Source organism: Homo sapiens, chromosome 19, assembly GCF_000001405.40.
Source record: "Homo sapiens chromosome 19, GRCh38.p14 Primary Assembly".
In the NCBI taxonomy this organism is placed as follows: Eukaryota; Metazoa; Chordata; class Mammalia; order Primates; family Hominidae; genus Homo; species Homo sapiens.
The window spans coordinates 23,389,646-23,417,449 of NC_000019.10; the positions used below are offsets into that span (position 1 = coordinate 23,389,646).

The 27,804-nt window shown below is 44.3% G+C and overlaps 1 protein-coding gene and 2 long non-coding RNA genes across 15 annotated transcripts in view, besides 3 other annotated features; 1 reads left to right on the forward strand and 2 right to left on the reverse strand.

The window, feature by feature from the left end:
- ZNF91 (zinc finger protein 91) overlaps positions 1-5,826 on the reverse strand; it is a 90,468-nt gene extending 84,642 nt beyond the window's left edge. For all 9 annotated transcript variants that reach the window (XR_007066982.1, XR_001753754.3, XR_007066980.1 and 6 more), the window contains exon 1: positions 5,680-5,826. Coding sequence is in view for 3 of the 9 variants with exons in the window: in XM_024451693.2 (XP_024307461.1) it covers positions 5,680-5,709 (30 nt within the window). In the remaining 6 variants the exon portion in view is untranslated. The remainder of the gene's footprint in view (positions 1-5,679) is intronic.
- Positions 5,228-6,096: an enhancer, noted in NCBI's record as "H3K27ac hESC enhancer chr19:23577675-23578543 (GRCh37/hg19 assembly coordinates)". NCBI's record gives its function as "activates a minimal SCP1, AML or CMV promoter by ChIP-STARR-seq in naive H9 embryonic stem cells {active_cell/tissue: H9 hESC(naive)}" and the evidence as "EXISTENCE:reporter gene assay evidence [ECO:0000049][PMID:30033119]".
- On the reverse strand, positions 9,588-26,429 carry LINC01224 (long intergenic non-protein coding RNA 1224). Of its 2 annotated transcripts, NR_126448.1 has the most exons (6): positions 26,249-26,429; positions 15,613-15,690; positions 15,306-15,463; positions 14,075-14,102; positions 13,561-13,864; positions 9,588-11,402 (listed from the first exon to the last, which is right to left on the reverse strand). It is a non-coding gene; the product is annotated as a long intergenic non-protein coding RNA 1224 (long non-coding RNA). The 2 variants fall into 2 exon arrangements; NR_126449.1 differs by lacking the exon at positions 15,306-15,463 and having other exon boundaries at positions 13,561-13,848.
- Positions 12,877-27,804, forward strand: part of LOC105372335 (uncharacterized) — a 35,695-nt gene continuing 20,767 nt past the window's right edge. Inside the window, exons 1-3 of one of the 4 annotated variants that reach the window (XR_936480.3) lie at positions 12,877-12,978; positions 22,432-22,527; positions 24,647-24,711. This is a non-coding gene — a long non-coding RNA (uncharacterized LOC105372335). Of the gene's footprint in view, positions 12,979-20,510; positions 20,592-22,431; positions 22,528-24,646; positions 24,712-27,804 lie in introns of those variants that run through there. The other 3 variants (XR_936481.3, XR_936482.3, XR_007067208.1) reach the window with 3 other exon arrangements.
- Positions 25,396-26,053: an enhancer, noted in NCBI's record as "H3K27ac hESC enhancer chr19:23597843-23598500 (GRCh37/hg19 assembly coordinates)". NCBI's record gives its function as "activates a minimal SCP1, AML or CMV promoter by ChIP-STARR-seq in naive H9 embryonic stem cells {active_cell/tissue: H9 hESC(naive)}" and the evidence as "EXISTENCE:reporter gene assay evidence [ECO:0000049][PMID:30033119]".
- Positions 26,054-26,709: an enhancer, noted in NCBI's record as "NANOG-H3K27ac hESC enhancer chr19:23598501-23599156 (GRCh37/hg19 assembly coordinates)". NCBI's record gives its function as "activates a minimal SCP1, AML or CMV promoter by ChIP-STARR-seq in naive and primed H9 embryonic stem cells {active_cell/tissue: H9 hESC(naive and primed)}" and the evidence as "EXISTENCE:reporter gene assay evidence [ECO:0000049][PMID:30033119]".

Below are 27,804 nucleotides of genomic sequence, written 5' to 3' on the forward strand. Positions count from 1 at the left end.
GCCTGTGTAGAGTGCACAGCCTCTCATTCCTGGACACCCAGAGGTTTATACTAATCCAGGAGTCTGTGGTATCTTTCTTCTGGCACCAAATCTGTAGAGTTTGCTAAACACCAAGCAATTCTCCAACACCAACTTATTATCTAAAACTTCAATTCTGACACCACCCAGAGTCAGCACAGACCTTGATTCAGGGCTCAGTCTCACAACATTGTCCTCACTGCAGATGCCAGTCACAAACTCTATAAGCCCATCTATGCTTCTGAGATACTGTTTAGAAACTGGGGACTCCCATAATGTTACTGAAATTTACTAATTTGTTAGAGCTACTCACAGAACTCAGCGGAACACTGTAGTCATATTTACCATTTTCACATAAAAGATACAACCCGGGACAGGCGCGCCAGCTCACTTCTGTAATTCCACCACTTCGGGAGGCTGAGACAGGCGAATCACCTGAGATCAGGAGTTCAAGACCAGCCTGACCAACATGGAGAAACTCTGTCTCTAGTAAAAATGCAAAATTAGCCAGGCATGGTAGCACATGCCTGTAATCTCAGCTACTTGGGAGGTGGAGGCAGGAGAATTGCTTGAACCCGGGAGACGGAGGTTGTGGTGAGCCGAGATTGTGCCATTACACTCCAGCCTGGGCAATTAGAGTAAAACTCCGTCTCAGAAAAGAAAAAGGTACAACCCCAACAAAGTCATGTGAAAAAAATGTATAAGACCAAGAATAAAGGTGGAAAAAGATGAAGCACATAGATGATAAACAGCTGTGATTAATAAAATTCTCTATCTTTTGTGTTCTCCAAGAACACTTTATGGTGGGGGGGCGGAAAAACCCTTTTCATTATGATGCCCACCACCACCACGCCCGACTAATTTTTGTATTTTTAGTAGAGACGGGGTTTCACCATGTTGGCCAGGCTGGTCTTGAACTCCTGACCTCAAGGGATCCACCCACCTTGGCCTCCCAAAGTTCTGGGATTACAGGCATGAGCCATCGTGGTGGGCCAAGCAATACTCTTGTTCCTCAGCTGTCCAAGTAGCTCTGACCACAGGCGTGTGCCACCATGCCTAATTTTTCTTATTGTATTTTTTTTTAGAGATGCATTTTTATAGATGGGATTTTCCCATATTGCTCAGGCTGGTCTCAAACTCCTGAGCTCAGGCAATCCACCTGCCTTGGCCTCTCAAAGTGCTGGGATTACAGGCATGAGCCATTGTGCCTGATCATACCATATTTTCTTTATTCAGTCTACCATTGATAGGCATTCAAGTTGATTCCATGTCTTTGCTATTGTGAATAGTGCTGCAGTGAACACCCTTGTGCATGTGTCTTTATGAGAGAATAATTTGTATTTCTTTGGGTATATACCCAGTGATGGGGTTGCTTGGTGAAATGGTAATTGTTTTTAGTTCTGTGAGAAATTGCCACACTGCTTTTTACAATGGTTGAATTAATGTACACTGTTAACAGCAATGTATAAGTATTCCCTTTTCTCTGAAACCTTGACAGTATCTATTTTTTTGCTCTCTTTTCTTACCTATCACACAGCCAGAAAAACGCTTTGTGCATTTTCTCCTCTTCCTCATTAAAAATCAGCTGACTTTGTCTTCAGTGGTAAACATAAAATACTTCTTAATCTAACTGAACTTAAGTTTATTTTCTTCCCACAGGCTCCTGAACTTTGAGCTACCCTCAGTCTGAGCCACCATACAACCCCATTTTATGTTTATCCTAAGAACATGCTGACTTCAGGGTAAAACATTCTCAAAATCTGATTTTATTACCCTCTGTTTAAACATTCCCCTCCTACCTCCTTACTAATCTTGTTTGCTTTTCCCTAGGAAAAAAAGCCACTGTCTGCCTCATCTTTGCAATCTTTAAAAATCTTATAGTCACTACTTCCTCCTGTTGCAATACTCCTTTGAAATTCAAGTTTTTACATACATCTAACTTTTATTTTAAAAAGTCTAGAAACTGCCTCAAAACAATAACTTCATCTTCAGTAAGACCCTCCCAATACCCTTTTATATTAATCTTAACTGCATCTGCGTGTGGGTTGCCAGCTTTCCAGGGCTCTGTAGATTGTCTCAGTATAGGGGCTTCTTCCATAGCTGAGGTGAGCAAGCTGGGACATCTGCAGGGGAGGCTCCCCAGAAGGAACTAAGTGGGTCTTTAAAAACCTCCTTTTGCAGGCTCAAGCCTGCAAAAGGCTTAGCTTGGAGTCACTGGGTTTAAGCTTTAATTTCTATGTCAGAGTTATTAACTTGGCTTTTGAAACTATAACTAGGTGGTAGAATAATTCAGCAAAATTATGCAAACACAGTGTTCATACAAGGGAAGAAAAGTTTAAGGTGTTTACATCTTATACCTCAGTAAGAAAAGCAAAAGTATTTATTCCTTTCAGACAATAAATATATTATGTTATTATTTGTATCAAAAATCACGTAGCAAACAATTAGTCTGCCGGGCACAGTGGCTCATGCCTGTAATTCCAGCACGTTGGGAGGCTGAGGTGGGTGGATCACCTGAGGTCAGGAGTTCGAGACCAGCCTGGCCAACATGGTGAAACCCCGCCTCTACTAAAAATACACAAATTAGCCGGGCGTTGTGGCAAGCGCCTGTAATCCCAGCTATTTGGGAGGCTGAGGCAGGAGAATCACCTGAACCCAAAAGGCAGAGGTTGCAGTGAGTTGAGATTGCACTACTGCACTCCAGCCTGGGTGACAAGAGTGAAACTCCATCTCAAAAAAAAAAAAAAAAAGAAAAAAAAATAGTCACATGGGAACACTTCTAGGAGGTATCAAGTTTCATCACATAAAATTTAGCATTAAACTCAAAAATCAAAATACCAGGATATAGAACCAGGCACGACAGCTCACATCTGTAATCCCAGCACTTTGGGAAGCTAAGGTGGAAAAATCATGAGGGCAGGAATTTGAGAGCATCCTGGGCCACATGGTGAAACCCCATCTCTACTAAAAATACAAAAATTAGCTGGGAGTGGTGGTGCACGTCTGTAATCCCAGCTACTGGGGAGCTGAGACAGGAGAATTCCTTGAATGTTTGAATCCAGGAGGCAGAGGTTGCAGTGAGCTGAGATCACACCATTGCATACCAGCCTGGGCGACAGAGCAAGATTTCGACTCATAAATAAGACAAAAAAAAACCCTTAGGTCAAAATAAGTGAACAAAGCTTTTCAAGATACAGATATGTCTTCCTCATGTGTCAAGTCAGGCCATTCAATTACTTGAGAGATTGTCCCATCCCATCCTGCTCACTTAAGTGCTCAATAACCCCCTCTCAGGAGACTCTGAACTATGCCCCAGTGAGTGCCTCAGGCACATTATACTCTGCAAGTTCTTACGCCATCTAACTGGGGTCAGTTTTTTGGTTTTTTGGGTTTTTTTTTGTTTTTTGTCTTTTGGAGTGCTGGGTATTTTTTTTCTAGAAATTTTTTTACTATTTTTCTTGCACTATTTTTCTGCCCCCTAAAGGAATCCAGGAGGCAGAAATTATTTGTTTTCTCCTCAATACTAGTATCTGATTGGCTGGCCAGCAATGTGTCTCCAAGAAATGAAAGCTGAATTGGGTGAAGGCAATATTAATGTCTCAAGGAATTAACTTTAAAAAAAAGTGCACCAGGAAATGCCTCTCAGCCTCAGGGCATCCACGTCCACACTTGAGAAGCTAAACTCAATACCTCAGGTTGTCCTATGAGAGAATATGACCCAGAAGCTGATATTCACTAGACACTCTAGCACACATAGCCATGGTGGGTATCTTGGTTTATCCCCATACAGTACTGAAATCTAGGTCCAAGAAAAAACTGAAGGGTGACTGAAGACACATCACCCTATACAGTTTCCAAAAGGAAAACCTGACCCAAAAACATTCTGGTAAGATAGCTGCGTCTAGGGAAAATAGACGAAAAAAACGCACAGAGATATTTTACCATACAGTGTCAGGAGATTATTCTTTGCTTTCTTCTCACAGGGAGTATTTACCAAAAAAAACAAATCTTTTTAAATGTGCCATCAAATGCTTTGTCAAAAAAAAAATTAATTGGCCAGATGCGGTGGCTCACGTCTGTAATCCCAGCTCTTTGGGAGGCCGAAGTGGGCAGACCAGCTGAGGCCAGGAGTTCGAGACCAGCCTGGCCAACATAGTGAAACCCTGTCTGTACTAAAAATACAAAAATTAGCCAGACGTGGTCGTGGGCACCTGTAAGTCCAGCTACTTGGGAGACTGAGAGAGGAGAATCATTTGAGCCCAGTAGGCGGAGGTTGTAGTGAGCCTAGTGCGTCACTGCACTCCAGCCTGGGTGACAGAGCAAGGCTCTGTCTCAAAAATTAAAAATAAAAATGATTAAAATCGGTATCAAAATGTACACTACAGGACAAATAGTTGATAAAGTGAATTAGGGAGGGGAAATTGGCATTTGGGAATGTCAGACGAAACTGGAAATTTAGTATTTTACTGCAAGCCAGAGTTAGGCTGGAGGAACAGGGGATGAGGGGTGGACTTGAGGCCCTGCTTGAGACACATGTAAAAAATTCAGGGAAAAATCGTCCCCTTTTGAGTGTGAGAAAAATTAAGTGGCAGGCAATTAGATTGAGGTGGCTCTAGTCCTCGGATTTCTACTTCTAAAAATAAAAATCTAAACTCAAGAGCATTTTTTGGTAAATTACTACATTGGCAGAAGCAAAATTTAGGCTTAAGCAACTATAAACTGCCAATTAAGCTCTGATTACATAAGAAGGATATTTCCACCTAGATTGTAAAAATTAAGAAACTAGGCCAGGTGCGGTGGTTCACGCCTGTAATTCCAGCACTTTCGGAGGCCAAGGTGGGTGGATCACCTAAGGTCAGGAGTTCCAGACCAGCCTGGCCAACAAGGTGAAACCCCGTCTCTCCGAAAAATAAAAAAATTGGCCTGGTGTGGTGGCAGGCGCCTGTAATCCCAGCTACTAGGGCTGAGGCAGGAGAATCGCTTGAACCCGGAAGGCAGAGGTTGCGGTGAGCCGAGATCACGCCACTGCACTCCAGCCCGCGCGAGAGAGCAAAACTCCTTTTCAAAAAACAAAACAAAACAAAACCTACATAACTGTACCTAGCAAATTACTGAATTTGGTTTTCTTTACCATGAACCTTATAAAAATATCTCCTTCAAGGCCTTTCATAGACCACAAATTACAAACCATAGCTGGGTGCTCTACAATGTTTGAATCACTCTTTGATTAAATTATTTAATCTTTTCGCGGTGACGCCCATAAATTTTTAATAGAAAAAAAGAGGCCCTGGGAACCCCACGGACTAAAGTGCTTCCTATTCATGAGCCAGCACCTCCAGTCAGGATTCTCCCCTGACGACCCTCCCGTGATCCCTGCACAATCTGGGAGAGACGCGGCGCTGCGGGAGCAGAGCTGCCCAGAGAGGGCTCCAGGCCAGGACACAGTCACTGGGCAGGGAAGAGACAGGACGCCCGGAGCCCGCCTGTCAACGCAGCCGCCATCTTATCGCTGAAGGGGACTGAGGCCGAGCTGGGCAAGGAGAACCCGGGCACGGATTGTGGAGCTGACTGAAGGAAGGCCTGAGGCTCGCCACAGCCGCATCCCACCGGTTTCAACGAGCCCCGTTCCCTCTCTCGGGACGTCGCACCTGGCAGTCTCACCATTTCTAGGCTTCCAGGGGTTCCTGGCATCTTAGCTGTGGCTCTCCAATACCTGCAGGTCACAGGGCCACACAGGCTGGGCCTCCTGGAGCAGAGGACACAGAGCAGTGAAGTCGAGACCTGGAAACTCCGGCGGCAGCGAGAGACAAAGGCCCAGCCACATCCCGGAAGCCGCCCTGTCCGCTCCAGCTTTGTGCCTGATTGGACAGTTCCCAGCCCAGCGTCCCTGATTAGATAACGTTTAAGGCCCCGCCTTCTCAGGCCCTGAGTGACAGAAGATGTGATCAGACACTGGGCTGAATGAAGAAAGAGTGACAGCGTAGGCTGCAGCCTTTTCAGGCAGGGCTTCCTCAGCTCAGCCAGGCCCACCTCAGAGCATGGGAAAATCCTCTCTCTTCTTTGCTCTCTTTCAATGTATTCAAAATGTGAACAAAAATATTTGATGTATATTAATAATACATAAAATTTTTGTTCCAGAGAAAATCAACTTTTACTTTATTGTGTATTATCAATAATAAAGCTAATTTGATAAAACATTGTAAGTCTCTCAGCCGGGCGCCGTGGCTCACACCTGTAATCCCAACACTTTGGGAGGCCGAGGCAGGTGGATCTCCTGAGGTCAGGAGTCCGAGACCAGTCTGGCTAACATGGTGAAACCCCATCTCTACTAAAAATACAAAATTATTGAGCATGGTGGTGCGTGCCTGTAATCCCAACTACTCGGGAGGCTGAGGCAGGAGAATTGCTAGAACCCGGGAGGCCAAGGTTGCAGTAAGCCTAGATCGCGCCAATACATTCCAGACTGAACAATAAGAGTGAAATTCCATTTCAAAAAAATGAAAAATAAAATATAAAAATTAGCTGAGCATGGTGGCACACGTCTGTAATCCCAGCTACTCCGGAGGCTGAGGCAGGAGAATCGCCTGAACCCGGGAGGCGGAGGTTGTAGTGAGTTGAGATCATGCCACTGCACCCCAGCAAAAAATAAAAATAAAAATACATTAAAATTTTTTTGACCTCTCTAGATTTTTATACATATTTTATGATCTCTTATAATTTTTTAATTTTTTTTTTTTGAGACTGAGTCTTGCTCTGTGGCCCAGGCTGAAGTCCAGCGGCACGATCTCGGCTCACTGCAACCTCTGCCTTTCAGGTCCAAGGGATTCTCCTCCCTCAGCCTCTGGAGTAGCTGGGATGACAGGTGCACCACCACACCTGACTAATTTTTTGTATTTTTAGTAGAGATGCGGTTTCACCATGTTGGCCAGGCTGGTCTCGAACTCCTGGCCTCAGGTGATCCACCTGCCTTAGCCTCCCAAAGTAGTGGGATTACATGGGTAAGCCATGATGCCGGTCCATTGTTTAACTTTTTATATTTCATTTTAATCTACATTATTTTTACTTTTTCAATTTGAAGGAACCTTTAAGTAATTTCAAAGCAGACAAATGTTTCTAACTTTCTTCATCAAAAGCATATTTTGCTTTTGTTTATACTCTCTCTATTTTCTTTTAATTTCCAAGAGAGAAGCTTGTTCTGTCACCCAGGCTGAAGTGCAGTGGCATGATTTCAGCTCACTGCAACCTCCACCTCCCAGATTCAAGCGATTCTCCAGCCTCAGCTTCTGGAGTAGCTGGGATTACAGGCGTGCGCGATCATGCCCGGTTTATTTCCTTATTTGAAGTAGTGACTGGAATTTGCCATGTTGCTCAGGCTGGTCTCGATCTCCTAAGCTCAAAATGATCTGCCTATCTCGGCCTCCTAAAGTGTTGGGATTACAAGGCGTGAGCCACAACACCTGGCCTTAAACATTCTCTTTGAAGAATTAGTTTTTTTACATCTAGTGGTCTTTTATTAATTACATTAACCCTTAACAAACTAATTTTTAGTGAAATCCCTAGGAAGTAATTTTGAACTGTTTTATATTAATATTTGTAGATAAAAAACATTTATATATTTTAATGTTAAATACAGTGAGTTCTAAATTGCTCTTCAAAGAATCAGTATGTCAGTATATTCAGCTCCCTGTTCTTCATTCTCCATTTTAAAGTTTAACTTCTTTGTTGTTTTTGTCTCCAGTTTTAGTAAACAACCTTCCCGCCAGTTCTAATCAGTAGTTTACATCTGTACCCCTGGTCACCTGCTCCATCCTGAGTCACCCCTGGTCACCTGCTCTGACCTGAGTCACCTTGGTCACCTGTTCCATAACAGTAGTTCCCACCCAAACTGCTCACCCCACCACTCTGGCTTGTACTCCTCCTCTCTTTAAAATAGCCAATGGGAATTAGCTTAGACTGTGCAGTCCAACCCTAGCCAATAGGGGAATGACACAGCAGTAGGGGCTACCTGCATCAGGGCTAAGAACTCCTTTCCCTCCCTTGTTCAGGTGTGCTCTTGCCATTGCTCCATTCGCAAGATGCACCCTTCTATAAAAGTAAATATTGTCTTGCTGAGAAAATTTACATTCAAGTACTATTTCCTTTGCGGCATCAAAAATTTGCTTCTAACATTTAATAAAAGATTTTTTTTTTAATTTTCTGTAAACGAATCTAAATATAGTTAGCTTTTTTATAACATATTAAAGATTCTGGGCTGGGTGCAGTGGCTCACGCCTGTAATCCCAGCACTTTGGGAGACTGAGGTGGGTGGATCATGAGGTCAGGAATTCAAGACCAGCCTGGCAAATATGGTGAAACCCTGTCTCTGCTAAAAAATACAAAAATTAGACAGGCATGGTGGCGTGCTCCTGTAGTCTGAGCTACTCAGGAGGCTGAGGCAGGAGAATCACTTGAACCCAGTAAGCAGAGGTTGCAGTGGGCCGAGATCGCACCACTGCACTCCAGCCTGCTGACAGAGTGAGACTCCGTCTCAAAAAATAAAAAGTAAAATAAAATAAAAAAATTATAGTCAGGCATGTTGGCTCATGCTTATAATCCCAGCACTTTGGGGGAGCAAGTAATGAAGACTGTTTAAGCCCAGGAATTTGAGACCAGCCTGGGCAACATGGCAAAAACACATGTCTAAAAAAAATTTAAAAATTAACTGAGCATGGTAGCCTGCACATTTAGTACCAGCTATTCAGGAGGCTGAGGGAGGAAAATTGCATGAGCCCAGAAGTCGAGGCTGCAGTGAGCCCTCATTGAGCCACTTCACTCTATTCTGGGTGACAGAGACCTTTTCTAAACAAAACAAAACAAAACAGCCAAAACATAGAAAGTTAAACTTACGGGGTTTTGTGTTTTTTTGTTTTTGTTTGTAATTATTATTACTTCCAAAGTTTTTAAGGTACAGGTGATGTTTGGTCACATGGATAAGTTCTTTTGTAATCATTTCTAAGATTTAGGTGCACCCATCTCCCAAGCAGTGTGCACTGTACCCAATATGTAGTCTTTTATCCCTCACCCCTCTCTCCCGCCCTTTCTGCTGAGTACCCAGAGTCCATTACATAATTCTTATGCCTTCGCATTCTCATAGCTTAGTTCCCACTTATAAGTGAGAACATACAATGCTTGGTTTTTTATTGCTGAGTTACTTAGAATAATGGTCTCCAACTAAATCGAGATTGCTGCAAATGCTATTATTTTATTCCTCGTTAGGGCTGAGTAGTATGCATTGGTATATATATGCCACATTTTCTTTTTCCACTCATTAGCTGATGGGCATTAGGCTGCTTCCATATTTTTGCAATTGCAAATTGTGCTGCTATAAACATGTGTGTGCAAGTGTCTTACACATATAATTTCTTTTTCTTCATGTAGATACACAGTAGTAGAATTGCTTAATCAAATGGTAGCTTTACTTTTATTTAATGAATCTCCATACTGTTTTTCATAGTGGTTGTACTAGTTTACATACCCACCAGCAGTGAAAAAGTATTCTTTTTTCACCACAGCCACGCCAACATGTATTATTTTTTGATGTTTTAATCATGGCCGGTTTTGCAGGAATATATTGGTTTGGTTCAGAAAGGCGGGACAACTCAAAGCGGGCGGCTTCCAGGTAAATTTAAATATTTTGTGGTTGACAAGTGGTGGAATCTGAAGACCTGGGATCAATGAAAGGGAAGGTTTAGGTTAAGGTAAAGGATTGTGGAGACCAAGTTTTATTGTACAGAGGAATCTCTCAGATAGGTGAATTAAAAGAGAGAGCAGTTTGTAAAATGTTTATTAGACCTAAACGGGTGCCTGGCTCTTAGTTGATTATCTCCTGGATCTGCAAAGAAAAAAAGGAAAACAAAAGGGGAAGGGGATTCTCTACAAGGCCTAGGCATGAGAGGAGAGTCACATCAAGTTAAGTACTGGGCCACGTGACATATCACAATCCCCATGTGGACACATTCCAGTAAGACAACACCTAGGTGCTGGGCCCAGGAACATATGACTGTGTCTTTTATAGGCAAACACAGGGTAGAAGAGGGGAGGGGATAACAATCAAACATCTGATGGGCCAAGAGATATGTCACAATGCCCCCTGTGGGCAGGGTCCAGGCTGGAGACACATATCACCTTGGCGTTGGGCCCATGAATATGTGACAGTGCCTTCTGAGGGCAGGCCCAAGGCAAAAGAGTAACATCATTATGCGGCTGGGCCCAGTGGTTTGTTACAATCTCTGCTGCAGTTGAAACCTAGAAAGAAGAGAAGAATCAGGCCAGGTGCAGTGGCTCATGCCTGTAATTCCAGTACTTTGGGAGGCCGAGGCAGGAGGATCACCTGAGGTTAGAAGTTCGAAACCAGCCTAGCCAACATGGCGAAACCCTGTCTCTACTATAAATACAAAAATTAGCCGGGCGTGGTGGCACATGCCTTTAATCCCAGCTACTTGGGAGGCCAAGTCAGGACAATCGCTTCAACCTAGGAGGCAGAGGCTGTAGTGAGCTGAAATCATGCCGCTGCACTCCAGCCTGGGCAACAGAGTGAGACTCCATCTCAAAAAAAAAAAAAAAAAAAGGAAAGAAAAGAAAAGAAGAGTTACACCAGCTAGGTGTATTGGGCCTAGCAATATGTCACAAGTTGTTTTGTGAGAAGGAACTAAGCAGTAAAAGGGAATCATATTACCTGGGTGATGAGCATAGAGATATGTGACAATGACTCCTGCAGGCAGAACCCAAACAAGAGAGTGACATTACCTGGGTTTTAGACCCAGCAATATGTCACAGTGACCCATGTGGGCAAAGCAGAGGCAGGAGAGTAACATAACCTAGTGGGGAGGGCAGCAATATTTCACAATTTTCATTGTGGACGGCACCAAAGCAGGAGAGAAAACTCCCATCACTTGGGTGCAAGGCCCAGTGATATGTCACGATGCCCCATATAAAAACACAGAGGCAAGAAAATAGAGTCACATCACCTAGTTTCTGGTACAGTGATATGTCACGATTCCATCTATGGGTTAAATCCAGGCAGGAGAGTAAACTCACTCAGGTTCTACACAGAGGCATGTGTCACAATCACAAGTGCAGGAAGATCCAAGATGAGATTAACAATCCTGTACATATTCCGCTTCTGTGTGCAGCAGCAAGGCAGAAGAGGAGACTCACATTACCTGGGTGTAAGGCTCTGAGATATGTTACAATGTCTTTTTCGAGTAGCACCAAGGCAGAAGAATAGAGTTACATCACTTAGGCACTGGGTCCAGCAGTGTGGCACAATCCTATTTGTGGGCCGGGCCAATTCTGAAGAATCACATTACTCAGGTGCTGGGCAGAAGTGTGCGTCAAAATCACACCTGAAGGAAAGACCAGAGATGAGATTAACAATCCTGTACGTACCCTAATTCTTGGTATGAGAGTCAACACCTCCTGTATGTTGGGTCTAAGTACATAGTCACAATTTTTAGAATGAGCTGAATCACTGAATGAGAGACTCAATCCCTCTTACTGGCTGTGTCACCTTAGTGGAATCAGACAAACAGGTGTGTTCAATCTTGGTCTGAAAGTCACCAACTTACCTTTGGACTGGATTCACTTATGAGTAAATTTTACAACTTGCAACTGTCTCTGCATATGAGATTCAGAATTTCCAGTGGACCGTTCTTGTGAAAAGATGATAATCTTTACTGTCGACTGGGTATACAGGAATGTCAAAACAGCTGTACACTGAGTCTAGCTAGAATACTCTCTGTACCAACCGAGGATTTATAAGGTATGCATGAGAGTCACAATCTTTTGTGACTAGGAAACATTTGTGCTGGTATGGGCCCATGATCATACCTGTGGCTCTATGCTCAGATGAGAGAGTCAACATCTCTGTAATGGCTGGGTCCAGATATGAGAGTTGACACCTGCCTATAAGCTAGGCTAATGAGTCACCACCTCATGTTGCCTGATGTTCACATATGACAGTCACAATTTTAACTCTGCACTGCATCCACATGTAAAATTTAAGACCTCACCAGTAGGCTCTGTCCATGGATGAGGGTGACAATCTTAACAATTGGCAAACTGTGCAAATATAAAACAATCTCGTTTTCTGGACCCTGTTATGACACTTTCTGGAGCACTGGAGGGCTTTATACAATATGGGAGAGACTGTAATTTTCTTTAACCTTCCTACAAAGGGGAGAGCCAGAATCTTACCCATTTTCCTAAGCCCACATATGAGAGATAGTATGTCTCCTATTGGCTGATTTCAGATATGAGAGTCAACATTGCACCAATGATCTGAACAAAGATATATGTCACAATCTCCCCTGTGGATAGGGAGAGAGCAGGAGACTTATATCATCTGTGTAATAGGCCAGGTATATGTCACAATCTTCTCTGAGAACAGGCACAAGGCAGAAGAGTTAAAAACTGGGTGCTTAGGCATATAAATTTTCTCCTGAAATCAGGGCACAGAGAGTAGAGTCACATTACCTGGGTGCTGAGACCAGAGATATGTCACAATGCTTTCTATGAGCAAAGCTCAGGCAGGAGAAACACATCACTTGATTTCTGTGCCAGAAGATGTGTCACAATCTCTCATATGAGGAAAGCCTTGGTAGAAAAGGAGAGTCACATCAAATAGTTGATGCTCTTAAAGATATGTCACAATGCTCTGTTGTCAGGGTCCATACGGAAGACTCATGCCACCTTGTTGCTGGGCCCAGCAATATGTCACAATGCCTTTTCAGGTACAGGCCAAGGCAGAACAGTAATGTCACATTGGCGTAGAGCCCCACAATATGTCTCAGTCTTCCTTGCTAGCAGAACCTATGATGGAAGAAGAATCACACTTGTTTGGTACTGAGCCACATGATATGTCGCAACTCCCCCTGTGAGCAGGGACCAGGCAGGAGAAGAAAGTCACATCATGTGGGTGAGGTGTGAAAATATATGTCACAATGCTCCTTGTGGGTAGTAGAGTTGCATTACCAGGGTGTATGTCCCAGCAATATGTCACAATTGCTTATGTGGTCAGGTGACAGGTAGGAAAGTCAAAAAACCTGGTGTGGGGCCCAGAGATATGTGACAATGCATTCTGTGGGCAGTGCCAAGGCAAAGGAGACTCACATCACCTAAGTGCAAGGCCCAGCGATATGTCACAATGCCCCCTGTGAGCAGCACCAATGCAGAAAAAGAGAGTCAGTTCTGGGTTCAGCTATATGTCACTATTCCATCTGTAGGCAAGACAGTCAGATCACTCAGGTGCTGGGCAGAGAAATATGTTCCAAGTAAACCTGTGAGAAGGTGCAGGGATCAAATTAACAATCCCACACATGTTCCGGTTTTAGGTATAGGAGGTTAACCCTTCCTATATGTTGTGTCTAAGAACAGGAGTTACAATCTCAACAGTAGACAAAATTTGTACCTAACAGCCCATACTCCTGCTGTGGACTTAGTCTAATTAGTGAAGTCACAGCCTCATAGGCGTGCTGATTCTTGCTCTGAATGTCACCAACTCACCTGTGGACTGGATCCAAATATGAGAGTCAAGTTTTCCACCTTTGACTTCCTCTATGTGTGAGATTCAGAACTCACAATGATGATGTGTACTGTTTGATGGGTGTTCATACAATGGTAAAAGTCTCCTCTGTGTGCTGGGTCTTGTTAGTACACTTTTTTTCTTTTTTTTTTTTTTGAGATGGAGTCTCACAATGTCGCCTGGGCTGGAGTGCAGTGGTGCGACCTTGGCTCACTGCAACTTCTGCTTCCCGAGTTCAAGCGATTCTCCTGCCTCAGCCCCCGGAGTAGCTGAAATTACAGGCGCCTGTGAGGGATCAGTCAGAATGGTAAGAAAAACTATAGGGAAAGGACGCAAACCTTCTGAAAGTTCGGAAGGTTCTGCAAAGACCCAGGGGAGAATAGCTGAAGGCAGCTGCTTTATAACCCTGAGGCAGAGGGCCAGGAGTAGGTACAGTGGAGTGTAGGGGAATTTATCTTAAACAGGCTTGTTTACTTATATTGACCAGGAACTGACCTTTGATCATCCACGGGAGTGACGATCCCTGAAAGGAGAACAATAAATGTTAATTACCTGCAGGTTGTGTTTGCTCCAGGTTTTTGGCATTGTGCCTGCACTGAAAGAAAGCAAGCAGCTCCAGCTTCTTGGGGCAGCTCTCTGGCCACTAGAGGCAGGCCATTATCTAGCTGCTGTTACACTGCATACCTGTGTCTGAGTACTAATTCTATCCATCAGCCAGGGCCTGCAGGAAAGGCCCAGTAGGCGGCCACATCCATGCTCAGCTGATTTTTTGCAATTTTAGTAGAGGCAGGTTTTCACCATGTTGGCCAGGCTTGTCTCAAACTCCTGACTCATGATCTACCTGCCTCAGCCTCCCAAAGTGCTGGGATAACAGGCATGAGCCATGGCGCCCAGCTAGTACACTCTCTATACTACTCAAAGGCTTTATCCAGTATAAATAAGAGTCACAATTTACTCTAAAGTCATGTTTGTAAGCACCCATGACCATACTTGTGGCTCTAAGTCCAGGTATTAGAGCCAACATCTCTCCAGTTGGTAGGGTTTATATAGTAGAGTCCTCATCTGCTATGTTCTGAGTTTAGAAGTGTGTCACCATCTCAACTGTGGCCGGAGGCTCATATATGACAGTCACAATTCCAACTCTGGACAGTGTTTGCATTTGAGATTCAAGACCTCAGCAATGGGCTCTTTTCATGTGTAAGGGTGATAATCCTAATGGTTGGTGAGGTGTGCATATAAGAAACAATCTCACCTTTGTGCTGTGTGCCTTGGGATAACACTCTTTGTAACACTCGAGGGCATTATATGATATGTTGGAGGGTGGCAATTCTGTATGACCTTCATAAAAAGAGAAGACCAAGAATGTGACTCATTTTTCTAAGTCGAGCTATGAGAGACAGTATTTCTTCTAATAGCTGACTAGAGGTATGAGAGTCATCATTACACTTATAAGCTGACTACAGTACATGCCTCCATTTAACCTGTAGGTAGAGAGTTAGCAGGAGAGTCACATCACCTGGGATTTCAGCCAAGGGTATCTCACAATCTTCCCTGAGGGAAAGAACCAAGCAGGAATATCACATCACCTGGGTGCTCATCCAGGGATATGTTACAGTTCTCTCCTGAAAGCACAGCATAGGCAACAGTCACAACACCTAAGTGCTGAGCTCAGCATTATGTCACAATGCTCCCTGGGGGCAAGACAGAGGCAGGAGAGCCACATCACCTGGTGTCTGCTTCCAGGGAGAAGTCGCAATCTTTCCTGTGCAGGGCAGGTTGCAGGCAAGAAGTGTCACATCTTTTAGGTCATGGATGCAGATATATGTCACAAGGTCACTGTGGGCACAGCCCAGGCAGGAGCATGCAATCTCATAGGTAGTGGGCCTAGTAATATTTACAATACCAAAAATATGTGAGGCCGAGGAAAAACAGGAGAATTGCAACACCTAGTTGCTGGGTCTAGTGATATGCCACAATCCTCCCTTGCCCTCTGTGAAAATGCCCTCTGTGAAATAAGAATAGACTCACATTACCTAAATGCTGGGTCCAGCAATGAAGCACAATCCCATCTGTACGCTGGGTCCAGGCAGGAGAGTCAAATTACTCAGGTGCTAAAAAAAGGTGTATGTCACAAACACAGCTGAATTAAGGTTGAGGTATGAGATTAACAATTTCACACATTTTTTAGTTCTAGCTGAGACATAATTCCCTCTGTATCTTGGGTGTAAGTACCTGAGTGACAATCTCAATGATAGTCTGAATTTGCATATGAGAACCTCAATCCCTCCTGCAAATTGTGTCATTTTAGTGAAGTCACCGACTCACAGGTGTGCTGAATCTTGGTGTCAGAGACACTAACATCTCTATGGATCGAATTCACATAATGAGATTCAATTTTCCAACTTTTGACTGCATCTGCATAAGAGCTTCAGAACCTCAACAGTGAGCTGTGTTTATGTGGAAGGATGACAGTCTTTACTGTTGGCAGGCTATGCATATGAGTGTCACAACCTCCTCTGTGTGCTGAGTTCTGTTAGGACATTCTCTGTACCTCTTGACAACTTTACACAGTATGTGACAGAGTGTTCTTTATGACCTTCATACAAAGAGGAGACCCAAGACATTACTCATTTTCCTGACCCTGGCTATGAGAGATAGTGTATCTGCTATTGGTTTTTTCGAAGTTTGAAAATCATTATTGCACCTTTAAGTTTGAACAAGATATGCATCACAATCCCACCAATGAAAAGGGACTGACTAGTAGACTCACAGCACCTGCATTTTGGGGCAGTGATATGTCAGAATCTCCTCTGAGGGCAGGGACAGGGCAGAAGTGTCACACCACCTGGGTGCTCAATTAGGGATACGTTACAGTCTCCTCCTGAAAGCAGAATACAGTCAGCAGTCACATCACCTGGATGCTAGGCCCAGTGATATGTTACAATGATCTGTGGGCAAGGACCAGGAAGGAAAAACAGATCACCTGATTCCTGAGAACAGTGATTCATCACAATCTTTCCAGTGGTGAGGGTGCAGGCAGAAAAGGGGGGTTAAATCTCAAAGATAATGGGTACAAAGATATGTCACAAGGCCACTTATGTGCTGGGCTCAGGCAGAAGCCTCCCATCTCATGTCTGTTGAACTCAATGATACATCACTATATCCAAAATATGCCAGAAATAAGAAAAATAAAAGGGTCACATAACCTAGGTGATGGAAAGGAGACATGTCATAATACTTCCGTGGGCAGTTCCCATGTCATAAAGTTGTATCACCTAAGTGCTGAATCCAGGCATATGTCACAACACACAATGCATTTAGGGCTTAGGCAGAAGAGGAGAGTCATAACACATAGGTGGTGAGTCCAGCAACACATCACAAATCCCTGCTTGGGCAAAGCCATAGAAAAGAGTCGCATCACCTATGTACTGGGCTCAGTAATGTGTCACGCTACCCCCTTAGGAGGAGGGCCCATGCAAGAGAGTCACATCACCTATGTAACGGGTTCAGCAATATGTCACAGTACCCATTCTGGCGCAAAAGAGTCACATCTTCTAAATTATGGGCAACAGAGCCAGGCTCCATCTCAAAAAAAATAAAGAGTCACATCACCTAATAAGCGGTCTCAGAGATAAGACACCATGGCCCTCATGGGTAGGGCTCAGGAAGAAGTGTGAAGTCACATAACCTTTGAGCTGGGCCCAGCTATGTGTCAAAATTACTTCAGTGGGCAGGGCCCAGACCTAAGAAAAGAGTCATATCATGTAGGTACTTGGCCAAGCAATATGCCACAATCCCCACTGTGGACAGGTCCCAGGAGAAGAGTCACACAATCTCAGCAATTGGCCCAGATATATCTTACAGTGACTTTTGGGAGCCAGCAGAAGAATCTATCACCTGTATGCTAAACTCAGCAATAAGTCACTCTCTCTACTATGGGCAAGGCCCACGCAGAAAAGGAGAGTCAAATCACCTTGGTGCTGGGCCCAAAGATATGTCACAATCTCTTTTTGGGCAATGTCCAGGTAAGAGAGTAGAGTCACATAAAATAGTCAAAAAGGGCCAAGCGAAATGGCTCACCCCTATAATCCCAGCACATTGGGAGGCTGAGTCGGGCAGATCGGCTGAGGTCAGGGGTTTGAGACCAGTCTGGCCAACATGGTGATACCTCGTCTCTACTAAAAATACAAAAATTAGCCAGGCGTGGTGGTGCACACCTGTAACCTCAGCTATTCAGGAGGCTGAGGCAGGAGAATCACTTGAACCCAGGAGGCAAAGGTTGAAGTGAGTTGAGATCACACCACTGCACTCCAGCCTGGGTGACAGAGTGAGACTCTGTCTCAAAAATAAAATTAAAATAAATAACATAAAATAAATAAAATAGTCAAAGGGCCCCAGATATGTTACAATACACCTTGTAAGCAGGGTCCAGGCAGGAGACTCATATCACATTTGTTCTGGGCCCAGCAATATATCACCATACCTTCTGAGGGCAGTGCCATGACAAAAGAGTAATGTCACCTTAGTATTAGGCCTAGTGACATTTCACAATATCCCCTGCAGGCAAAACACAGGAAGAGGAGAAAAGTCACATTAGCTAGGTGCTGAGCCCAGTGATATGTCACAATCCCTTCTGTGAGCAGGGGCCAGGCAGGAGAAGAGAGTCACATTACCTGTGTGATGGGTGCAGGGTTATATCACAATGTCCGCTGTAGGCAGGACCGAGGCAGTAGAGTTACATCACCTGGGTGTTGGACCCAGCAATATGTCACAATGGCCTACATGGGTAGGGCACAGGCAGGAGACTCACATAACCTATGTGTGGGGCCCAGCAATATGACACAATGCCCCCTGTGAAAGAGCCAGGCTGGAGAGAAGATTCACACCATCTGGGTACAAGACCCAGTGATATGTCACAATGCCCACTGTGGGAAGTGCCAAAGCAGTAGAACAGTTACATCACTTTGGTGCTGGGTCCAGTGATATGTCACAATCCCTTCTGTAAGCTGGGCAGGAGCATCAACTCACTCTGGTGTCGGGTAAAGTCATATGTCATAATTACACTATCAAAAATGTTCAGGGATGAGATTATACATCTGGACTGGGAAGAATCAACACATCAAAAATATGACCAGGCCGGGCACAGTGGCTCCCGCCTGTAATCCCAGCACTTTGGGAGGCCGAGGCGGGCGGATCACCGGAGGTCGGGAGTTTAGACCAGCCTGACCAACATGGAAAAACCCCGTCTCTGCTAAAAATACAAAATTAGCCAGTGTGCTGGCACATGCCTATAATCCCAGCTACTCGGGAGGCTGAGGCAGGAGATTTGCTTGAATCCAGGAAGCGGAGATTGTGGTGAGCCGAGATTGCGCCATTGCGCTCTAGCCTGGGCAATGAGAGTGAAACTCCATCTCAAAAAAAAAAAAAAAAAAAAAAAAAAATGACCAAACCAGGCACAGTGGCTCATGCCTGTAATCCCAGCAGTTTGGGAGGCCAAGGCGGGAGAATATCTGGAGCCTAGGATTTTGAGACTATCCTGGGGGCCACATGGTGAGACAACACCTATATTAAAAAATAATAATTACAGTTAAAAAAATATATATATATATATGACCAGCGCCTGAAAAACATAGCAAGAACACATCTCTACTGAAAAAAAAAAAAAAACATAGATGATTGATTGGTAGACAGAGAGACACACAGATAGACAGATAGATAGATATAGATAGAACCAGTCATGGTGGCTCACGCCTGTAAGCTCAGTAATTTGAGAGGTCTAGGCCAGCACATCGTCTGGCTGCAGGAGTTTGAGATCAGCCTGGAAAACATGATGGGACCCTATCTCTACAAAAATAAAAAGTAAAATATACAAAATAAAGCGCCAGTGTGGTGGCGCATGCCTTTAGTCCCAGCTACTGGGAAGTGGGGTGTCTGAGACGGGAGGATCACCTGAGCCCAGGGAGGTCGAGGCTGCAGTGAGCTGTGATCATGCACCTGCACTTTAGCCTGGGTGAAAGAAATCTAAAACAACAGCAACTTCAGTGTACGGGAAGGAGCAAGAGAGACAAAGAGAAAAAAAGAAAAAAACAACAGAACTCAATGTACTGTGAAAACAAACTCAAAGTGGTGCTAAAAAAAAAAAAGGAAAAGAAAAAGAAACAGAAAGATCCTGAGAGCCCCAGCTATTTGGGAGGCCAAAATAAGAGGATCAACTGGATGAGCCTAGGAAGGTAAAGAGTGCAGTGAGCCATCATTGAACTCCTCTGCTGGACCGAAGCTGTACTGTCCCGGTGAGAGCCATCTGGTCCACCGTAAACATTTCCAGCTGGCAACCAAGTCCTACGCTCGTGGCCCACATCCTGTACACCTGGCAGCCAGAAAGAGAAGCCAGCTGGTGGTGGAGGCAGAAGCAGAAGCCCACTGTGTCTACCGTACAGGCCACATGTGGCACTCGCGGCCTGAAGCTGTCCCTGTTGGAACCTTATTTCCCCCAAGGCGGCCCACCTCCGCAGCCAGCCTCTAAGTCTGCCGACCTTCCTTCCTAAGCTTTGAATCCCTGGTCCACCCAAACGAGAGGCCAGCAGCCACAACTACTGGCCACAGCTCGCCACCCACATCTGGTCACCCGGTGGCCAGACCGAGAAGCCAACGTGTCCACCCTGCAGGCCATGTGTGGCGCTCGCCCCTGAAAACGTCCCTCTGGCGTCTAAGTCTGTGAGCTTCCCATCACTCCCTGGGTGACAGAGTGAGACTCCATCTCGGAAAAAAAAAAAAAAAAAAAAAAAAGATGATGGGGAAGAAGGGAGGGAGGGAGGGAGGGAGGAAGAGAGGAAAAGGAAGAATGAAAAGGAAAAACAAGAAGAAAATAAAAGAGGACAGAGCATGGTGGCTCAAACCTGTAATCTCAACACTTTGGGAAGCTGAAATGGGAGAATTGCTTGAGCACAGAATTTTGACACCAGCCCTGGGAACACAAAGCAGAAGGAAAGGAGGAAGGAGAGAAGAAAGAAAGGTAGGAAGGAAGGAAAAATAAAACCAAAAAAGTTCAGGGAACATCACTCGCACTGATGATCAAAGGTCAGTTCCTGGTCAATAAAAGTAAACAAGCCTGTTTAAGATAAATTCCCCTATACTCTGTTGTACCTACTCCTTGCCCTCTGCCTCAGGGTTATAAAGCAGCTGCCTTCAGCTATTCTCCCAGGAGGCTTTGCAAAACCTTCTGACTAGAAATACAAAAATTAGGTGGGTGTTGATGAGCCTGCTTGTAGTCCCAACTACTAGGGAGGCTGTGGCAGGAGAATGGCTTGAATCTGAGAGACTGAGGTTGCAGTGAGCCGAGATCATGCCACTGTACTACAGTGTGAGTAACAGAATGAGACCCTGGCTCAAAAAAAAAAAAAAATAAAATAAAAATAAATAAATAAATAACTTCTTACCTAAATCTAGATTCATCATATTTTACAAAATCTAGAAACAACCTCAGAACAATAACAACTCCATTCCCAGAAAGAGCCTCCCAACCCCACCTTTGTGCCAATCCCAACTGCATCTGCCTGTGGATTTCAAGGTTTTCAAGGCTCTGTGGCTTCTCTAAGTATAAAGGCTCTGTCCATGGCTATTGTGAGCAGGCCAGGACATCTGCAGGGGAGGCTCCTCAGGCAGAAGAGCTGCTTTTTCAATGATCTCCCTTTGCAGGCAAAACTATCCTTAGCTTGCAGTCACTGAGTTCAGGCTTCTACTTCCCAGTCAGGATTATTCACTTAGTTTGAAATAAGAAAATGACCAATGTATGGCCAGACATGATGGCTCACGCCTGTAATTGCAGCACTTTGGAAGGCTGAGGCAGGTGGATCACTTGAGGTCAGGAGTTCGAGACCAGCCTGGCAAACATGGTGAAACCCTATCTCTACTAAAAACACAAAAATTAGCCGGGCGTGGTGGCATGCGCCTGTAATCCCAGCTATTCAGAAGGCTGAGGCACGAGATTCCCTTAAACCTGGGAGGCTCCCTTAAACCTGGGAGGCGCAGGTTGCAGTGAGCCAAGATCGTGCCACTGCACTCCAGCCTGGGTAACAGAGTGAGACTCAGTCTCAAAAATAAATAAATAATAATAATTAAAAAAATGACCAATGTTTCAAAAAAGTGCAAAATCACTCCAACACACTGTTTATAGAATAGTGTAAGGAAATTGTAAGACTTAAATTTTCAACTACAATATAAAAAGCTTAAGTAAGGCTGGGCATGGTGGCTCACACTTGTAATCCCAGCACTTTGGAAGGCCGAGGCAGGAGGATCACCTGAAGTCAGGAGTTCGAGACCAGCCTGGCCAACATGGTGAAACCCATCTCTACTAAAAATACAAAAATTAGATGAGTGTGGCAGCTGGCAACTGTAATCCCAGCTACTAGGGAGGCTGAGGCAGGAGAATCGCTTGAATTCAGGAGGCAAAGGTTGTACTGAGCCGAGATTGTGCCAATGCACTCCAGCCTGGGCAACAGAGCAAGATTCCATCTCAAAAAAAAAAAAAAGCATCTGTCCTTTTCAGATGATAAACATCTCATTTAACTATTTCCATGATAGATAATTTAATAAACAATCATATGTGAACATTTCTAGAAGATGTCAAGTTCCATCTCATAAAATTTAGCATTAAACTTGGACATCTAGACAACAGAATACAGAACAGAGATTATCCACTGTTACAAATTCTAGACACCACAAAAAAGAGGAGCTGATGGTTTGAGAAATATATACAATGCACCAATTAATCTATCACATTTGCTTGTGGAAATATATTCACTTTGTATAGCCATAATGAAAAAAAGATTTTTCCTATTTCTTTTCTCTGGTAGCATTCCCAAAGCAAAGCCTGGGGTTCTATTTAAAATCATGCAACCAGGAAAAGCAGACATGAGAAACTTACTACACTCACTCTGGAGAAGATAAAGGTAAATAAGAATCTTTAATACATAAAATATATGAGTAGATTTTTCTGAAATATACCTTTCATAGTCTGACTTTTTAAACATCTTTTAAACTCTTCTGATAAAATATAAGTTACAGTTATTAAAAAACTGAAATAGAAATGTGAAAAAATCTTTCCAAGGTAAAAAACTCAGGAAGAGGCACATGCCACAATGCCTGACTAATGTTTTTGTATTTTTAGTAGAGACGGGGTTTCACCATGTTGGCCAAGCTGGAAATAATTTTTTACTCTGCGGCCAGGTGTGGTGGCTCATGCCTGTAATTCCAGCTACTTGGGAGGCTGAGGTGAGAGAATCGCTTAAAGGCGGAGGGAGGCTGAGGTGAGAGAATCGCTGGGAGGCAGAGGTTGCAGTGAGCCGAGACTGCACCACTGCACTTTAGCCTGGGCAACAGAGAAAGACTGTCTCAAAAAAAAAGCATACTCTGCACTAGCAGCATTAACACAAAAAGTTCTAGTAAACCCTGACACCCACTCAAATGTCACATCCTCTATAAAGCCCTCCTTGATTTTCCCAGTGCTATGTCACTGGCAGAATTGATCACTATTACCATTTAGCTCCTCAATACTTTATAAGTCTTTTTATGTACAAGGGTTATTCTCTCCAGAATAAATTAATCATTTACACACCTATCCATGCTAATGAACTATAAACTCCTATGGGGCAGGTATGTTGAACCCTGTTCATCTGTGTAATCCAAATGTCTGATACTTAATAGGTGTCATATACACATAAAATCAAAATGCTGTCAGGGAATTATTGGAAAAGCTACCAAATTCTTTTTTTTTTAACTTTTAAGTTCAAGGGTATATGTTCAAGTTTTTTACATAGGTAAACGTGTGTCACGGGGGTTTGTTGTGCAGATTATTTCATCACCCAAGTATTAAGGCCTAGTACCCATTAGGTATTTTTCCTGATCCTCTCCCTCCTCCAATAGGCCCCAGTATGTGTTCTTCCCCTCTATGGGCCCATGTGTTCCCATCATTTGACTCTCACTTATAAGTGAGAATATGTAGTAGTTTGTTTTGCTTTTTTTTTTTTTTTTGAGATGGAGTTTCGCTCTTGTCACCCAGGCTGGAGTGCAGTGGCACTATCTCAGCTCACTGCAACCTCTGCCTCCCGGGTTCAAGAGATTCTCCTGCCTCATCCTCCTGAGTAGCTGGGATTACAGGCATCTGCCACCACGCCTGGCTAATTTTTTGTATTTTTAGTAGAGATGAGGTTTCACCATGTTGCTCAGGCTGGTATCAAACTCCTGACCTCAGATGATCCACCTGCCTTGGCCTCCCAAAGTGCTGGAATTACAGCTGTGAGCCACCACATCCAGCTAGTATTTAGTTTTCTATTCCTCTGTTTGCTAAGAATAATGTCTTATGGCTCTATCCACGTTCCTGCAAAGGACATGATCTCATTTTTTTTTAATGGGTGCACAGTACTCCATGGTGTATATGTACTACACTTTCTTTATCCAGTCTATCATTAATAGGCATTTAGGTTGATTCCATGCCTTTGCTATTGTGAATTGTGCTGCAATGCACATATGCATGCATGTGTCTTTATAATAGAATGATTCACATTGCTTTGGGTAAATACCCAATAATGGATTGCTAGGTCAAATGGTATTTTGTCTCTAGGTCTTCAAGGAGTTGCCACACTGTCTTCCATAATGGTTGAACTAATTTACACTCCCATCAACAGTGTATACGCGTTCCTTTGTGAAAAAATAATTTTAATTTTCTAAAAGGTTAGCTTTCTAAGACAAATGGTATGCGAGGAAATTTCCACAGGCCTAAGCCATCCAGCTGCTCTTCTGAGAGGCTACACTCTTCCTCCTCAGGCTGTCCTCTAAGAGATGACCCAGGGGATGATATTCATTAGACACTCCAAGAGATATGGCCACTGTGGGCATCTTGGGTTATCCCTGACGGTTCTGAAAATCATGAACAAGAAAAGACCGGAGGGCTGCCACAAAGGGCCCTGGAATTTCTCCAAAGCAAAACTTCAACCGAAAGACCTACTAACAAGGTGTATGCACCAGGGAAGATAAAAGGACAGTCACAGAGATTTTTTTTCTTTTTAACAGTGGAGTTCCAGAGGATTATTTTCTCACGTAACATGTTTACAGACTTCGGAGGTTGAGGCGGGTGGATCACCTGAGGTCAAGAATTCAAGAGCAGCCTGGCCAACATGAGGAAACCCTGTCTCTCCTAAAAATACAAAAATTAGCCGGGCATGGTGGTGGGAGCCTGTAATCCCAGCTACTTGGGAGGCTGAGGCATGAGAATCGCTTGAATCTGGGAGGCGGGGATTGCACTGCACTCCAGCCTGGGCAACAAGAGTGAAACTCCATCTCCAAAAAAAAAAAGAAAAAAAAAATTGTATACAGACAACAATTATTTTAAAACCTGCCATCCACTGCTGTGTAAGAACATGATTAATAATAAAAACACTGTGTTTGAAATGTAAAATAAAGGACAAATAGTTGATAGTGTTGTAAATTGGAGAGAGGAAGTTGTTCTCATTTCCACTTTTGAGAATGTAGGAACAAAGGTGGAAATTTATAATTTTACTACAAGCCTGAGTTAAGCTAGGGTAAAAGGGTAGTGGATTAGAAGTCCTGCTTGCCATACATTAGGAAGTCACAGAGGAAAACCAGTCCTCCTGTGGAGTGTTATTTAAAAAGCAGGAAATTAGACTGAAGGGGCTCTAGTGCCCTGTGTTCATAAGTAAAAAATGTAAAACCTATCTCGGATTCACTTCTTATAAATTATTTTAGGCAGAAACAAAATTCAGGCTTAACCTGCAATTAACCTCTGATTACATAACCAGGAAATTTCCACCCGAATCATACAAATAAGGTGACTACATAAACTGTAACCAATTCTTGAATTTGGTTTGCCTTCTCACACGCCCTTTTCAAAACCCTTCCCTTTTTGCCTTTCAGGTGGCCCACATATTATGGCTGGGTGCTTTCCATTTCACTAATCACTGCTCAGATAAACTCGTTAACGTTTTAACGTTGACTCCCTTTACTTTGCAAGAGAAGAAGCTGGGCGCGGTGGCTCATGCTTGTAATCTTAGCACTTTGGGAGGCCGCGGCGGTGGGGGGATCACTTGAGTCCAGGGGTTCCAGACCAGCTTCCACCATGGCGAAACCACTTCTCTACTAGAAATACAAAAATCAGCCAGGCGTGGTGGTGCAGGTCTTTAATCCCAGCTTTTCGGGGGGCTTAGGCACGAGAATCGCTTGAACCTGGGAGGCGGAGGTTGCAGTGATCACGCCATTGCACTCCAGCCTCGGCGACAGAGCAAGACTTTGTCTCAAACAAACCAACAAAATGTTTAACAAAAGAGACTGGGAGCCCCACCGGCCACAGCTCCTCCTACGCACACACGAGTCGGGATTCTGCCCTGATGACCCGCCTGGCATCCCTGAACAATCTGGGAAACACTCGGGGCTGCGTGCAGAGCTGCCCAGGGAGCTCCAGATAGGGCGCCGCAGGGACTGGGCGGGACGCGCGGGTCATTGCTGCGGGCCCAGCCACCATCTTGCGGCCAGAGGGACCTGGGACGGAGCTGCGCCAGCAGGGACTCAGGTCGGCAACCCAGGAGCGGTGAGGAGGCCAGTCCCGTCGGTTTCTCAGCCAGCTCTCCCCTCTCGGGATGCTCAACCCCTCACACTCACCCTTTCCCACCTTCTGGAATGTCCTGGCATCTTAGCTGTCTGTGCACGTCCCAGGACCTGCAGATCACAGGGCAACAGCCTGTCACCGGCTGGGGCGAGAGGGGGGCAGAGGTGGAGGACGTTGAATAGCAGAAAGCGATCCCAAGCTCTGGCTGCAGCGAGAGACAAAAGCCCCGCCAAATGCCGGATGCCACGCCCTCCTCTCCAACTGTGCCACTGATTCGATAAAGCACCAGCACTCGCCCAGTACCACTCCCTCCACCCCCAGGAAAACAGGCTAAAGCAGGGAGTGTCAACCATAGGGAATTACAGCCAATTAAGAAGTAAGCTGAGACTTGAAATGAACTTGCTCTTTCCCTTACCTGGGTCTGCTTGTATAATGCATCTTATTTGCTACTTAAGGGTAAGAAAAGAACATTTGGATTATTTTTGTTTGTTTGAGACTGAGTTTTGCTCTTATTGCCCAGGCTTGAGTGCAATGGTGTGATCTTGTTTCACTGCAACCTCTGCCTCCCAGGTTCAAGTGATTCTCCTGCGTCAGCCTCCCGAGTAGCTGGGATTACAGGCGCATGCCACCACACCCAGCTACTTTTTGTATTTTTAGTACAGACGGGGTTTCGCCAAGTTGGGCAGGCTGGTCTCGAACTCCTGACCTCAGGTGATCCTCCCACCCCAGCCTCCCAAAGTGCTGGGATTACAGGCGTGAGCCACCATGCCTGGCCCATTTGAACATATTTTAACAACTTTTTAATGATTTTGATAATGCAGGAAAGACCCTCATCCCATCCCTGAGTACCTCTCTCATCATGCTATACCACGCTGTTGACCACATCGTGGGATGGCCATTAGGAATGGGGCAGGGGTGGGGGAAAGCGGTGGCTGAGAATGGTTAAGCAAAAATTATGTTACCCAAATTTGTTTATTTTAGAAAGACTTCTCAATCATTCTGTGTGAAGTGTGTATTCCAGGGTAATTGTGCCCTGACTGCACTGCATCTCAATCTGACTTCTCTTTTTTAAAATCACTGGATTACTGTCACTAATGGGGTATTTTATTTTCTATTTTATTTCTATTTGAAAATGGCCAACTGTCCTTTGTGGGTGTCCTGATTTGATTTGCTGGGTTAGACCATGGAGGTAAGAGTGAGGAAATATTGGGTCACATCAGAATAACTTATTCTCATTTAGAGAATATATAGGAATTTTTTCTTTTTTGAGATGGAGGTTTGCTTTTGTTGCCCAGAAGGGAGTGCAATCGTGTGATCTTGGCTCACTGCAACCTTCTTCTCCTGGGTTCAAGCGATTCTCCTGCCTCAACCTCCCGAGTAGCTGGGATTACAGGCTCCCACCACCATGCCCTGGGTCTGTCAGGGTTTCATCATATTGGCCAGGCTGGTCTTAAACTCCTGACCTCAGGTGATCCACCTGCCTCGGCCTCCCAAAGTACTGGGAATACAGGCATGAGCCACCGCGCCCAGCCAGGAATTTCTTAATAATATATAACAGTTTTCTCAATACCCATTTTATATGTATATGTATGTGTATATATATATATAT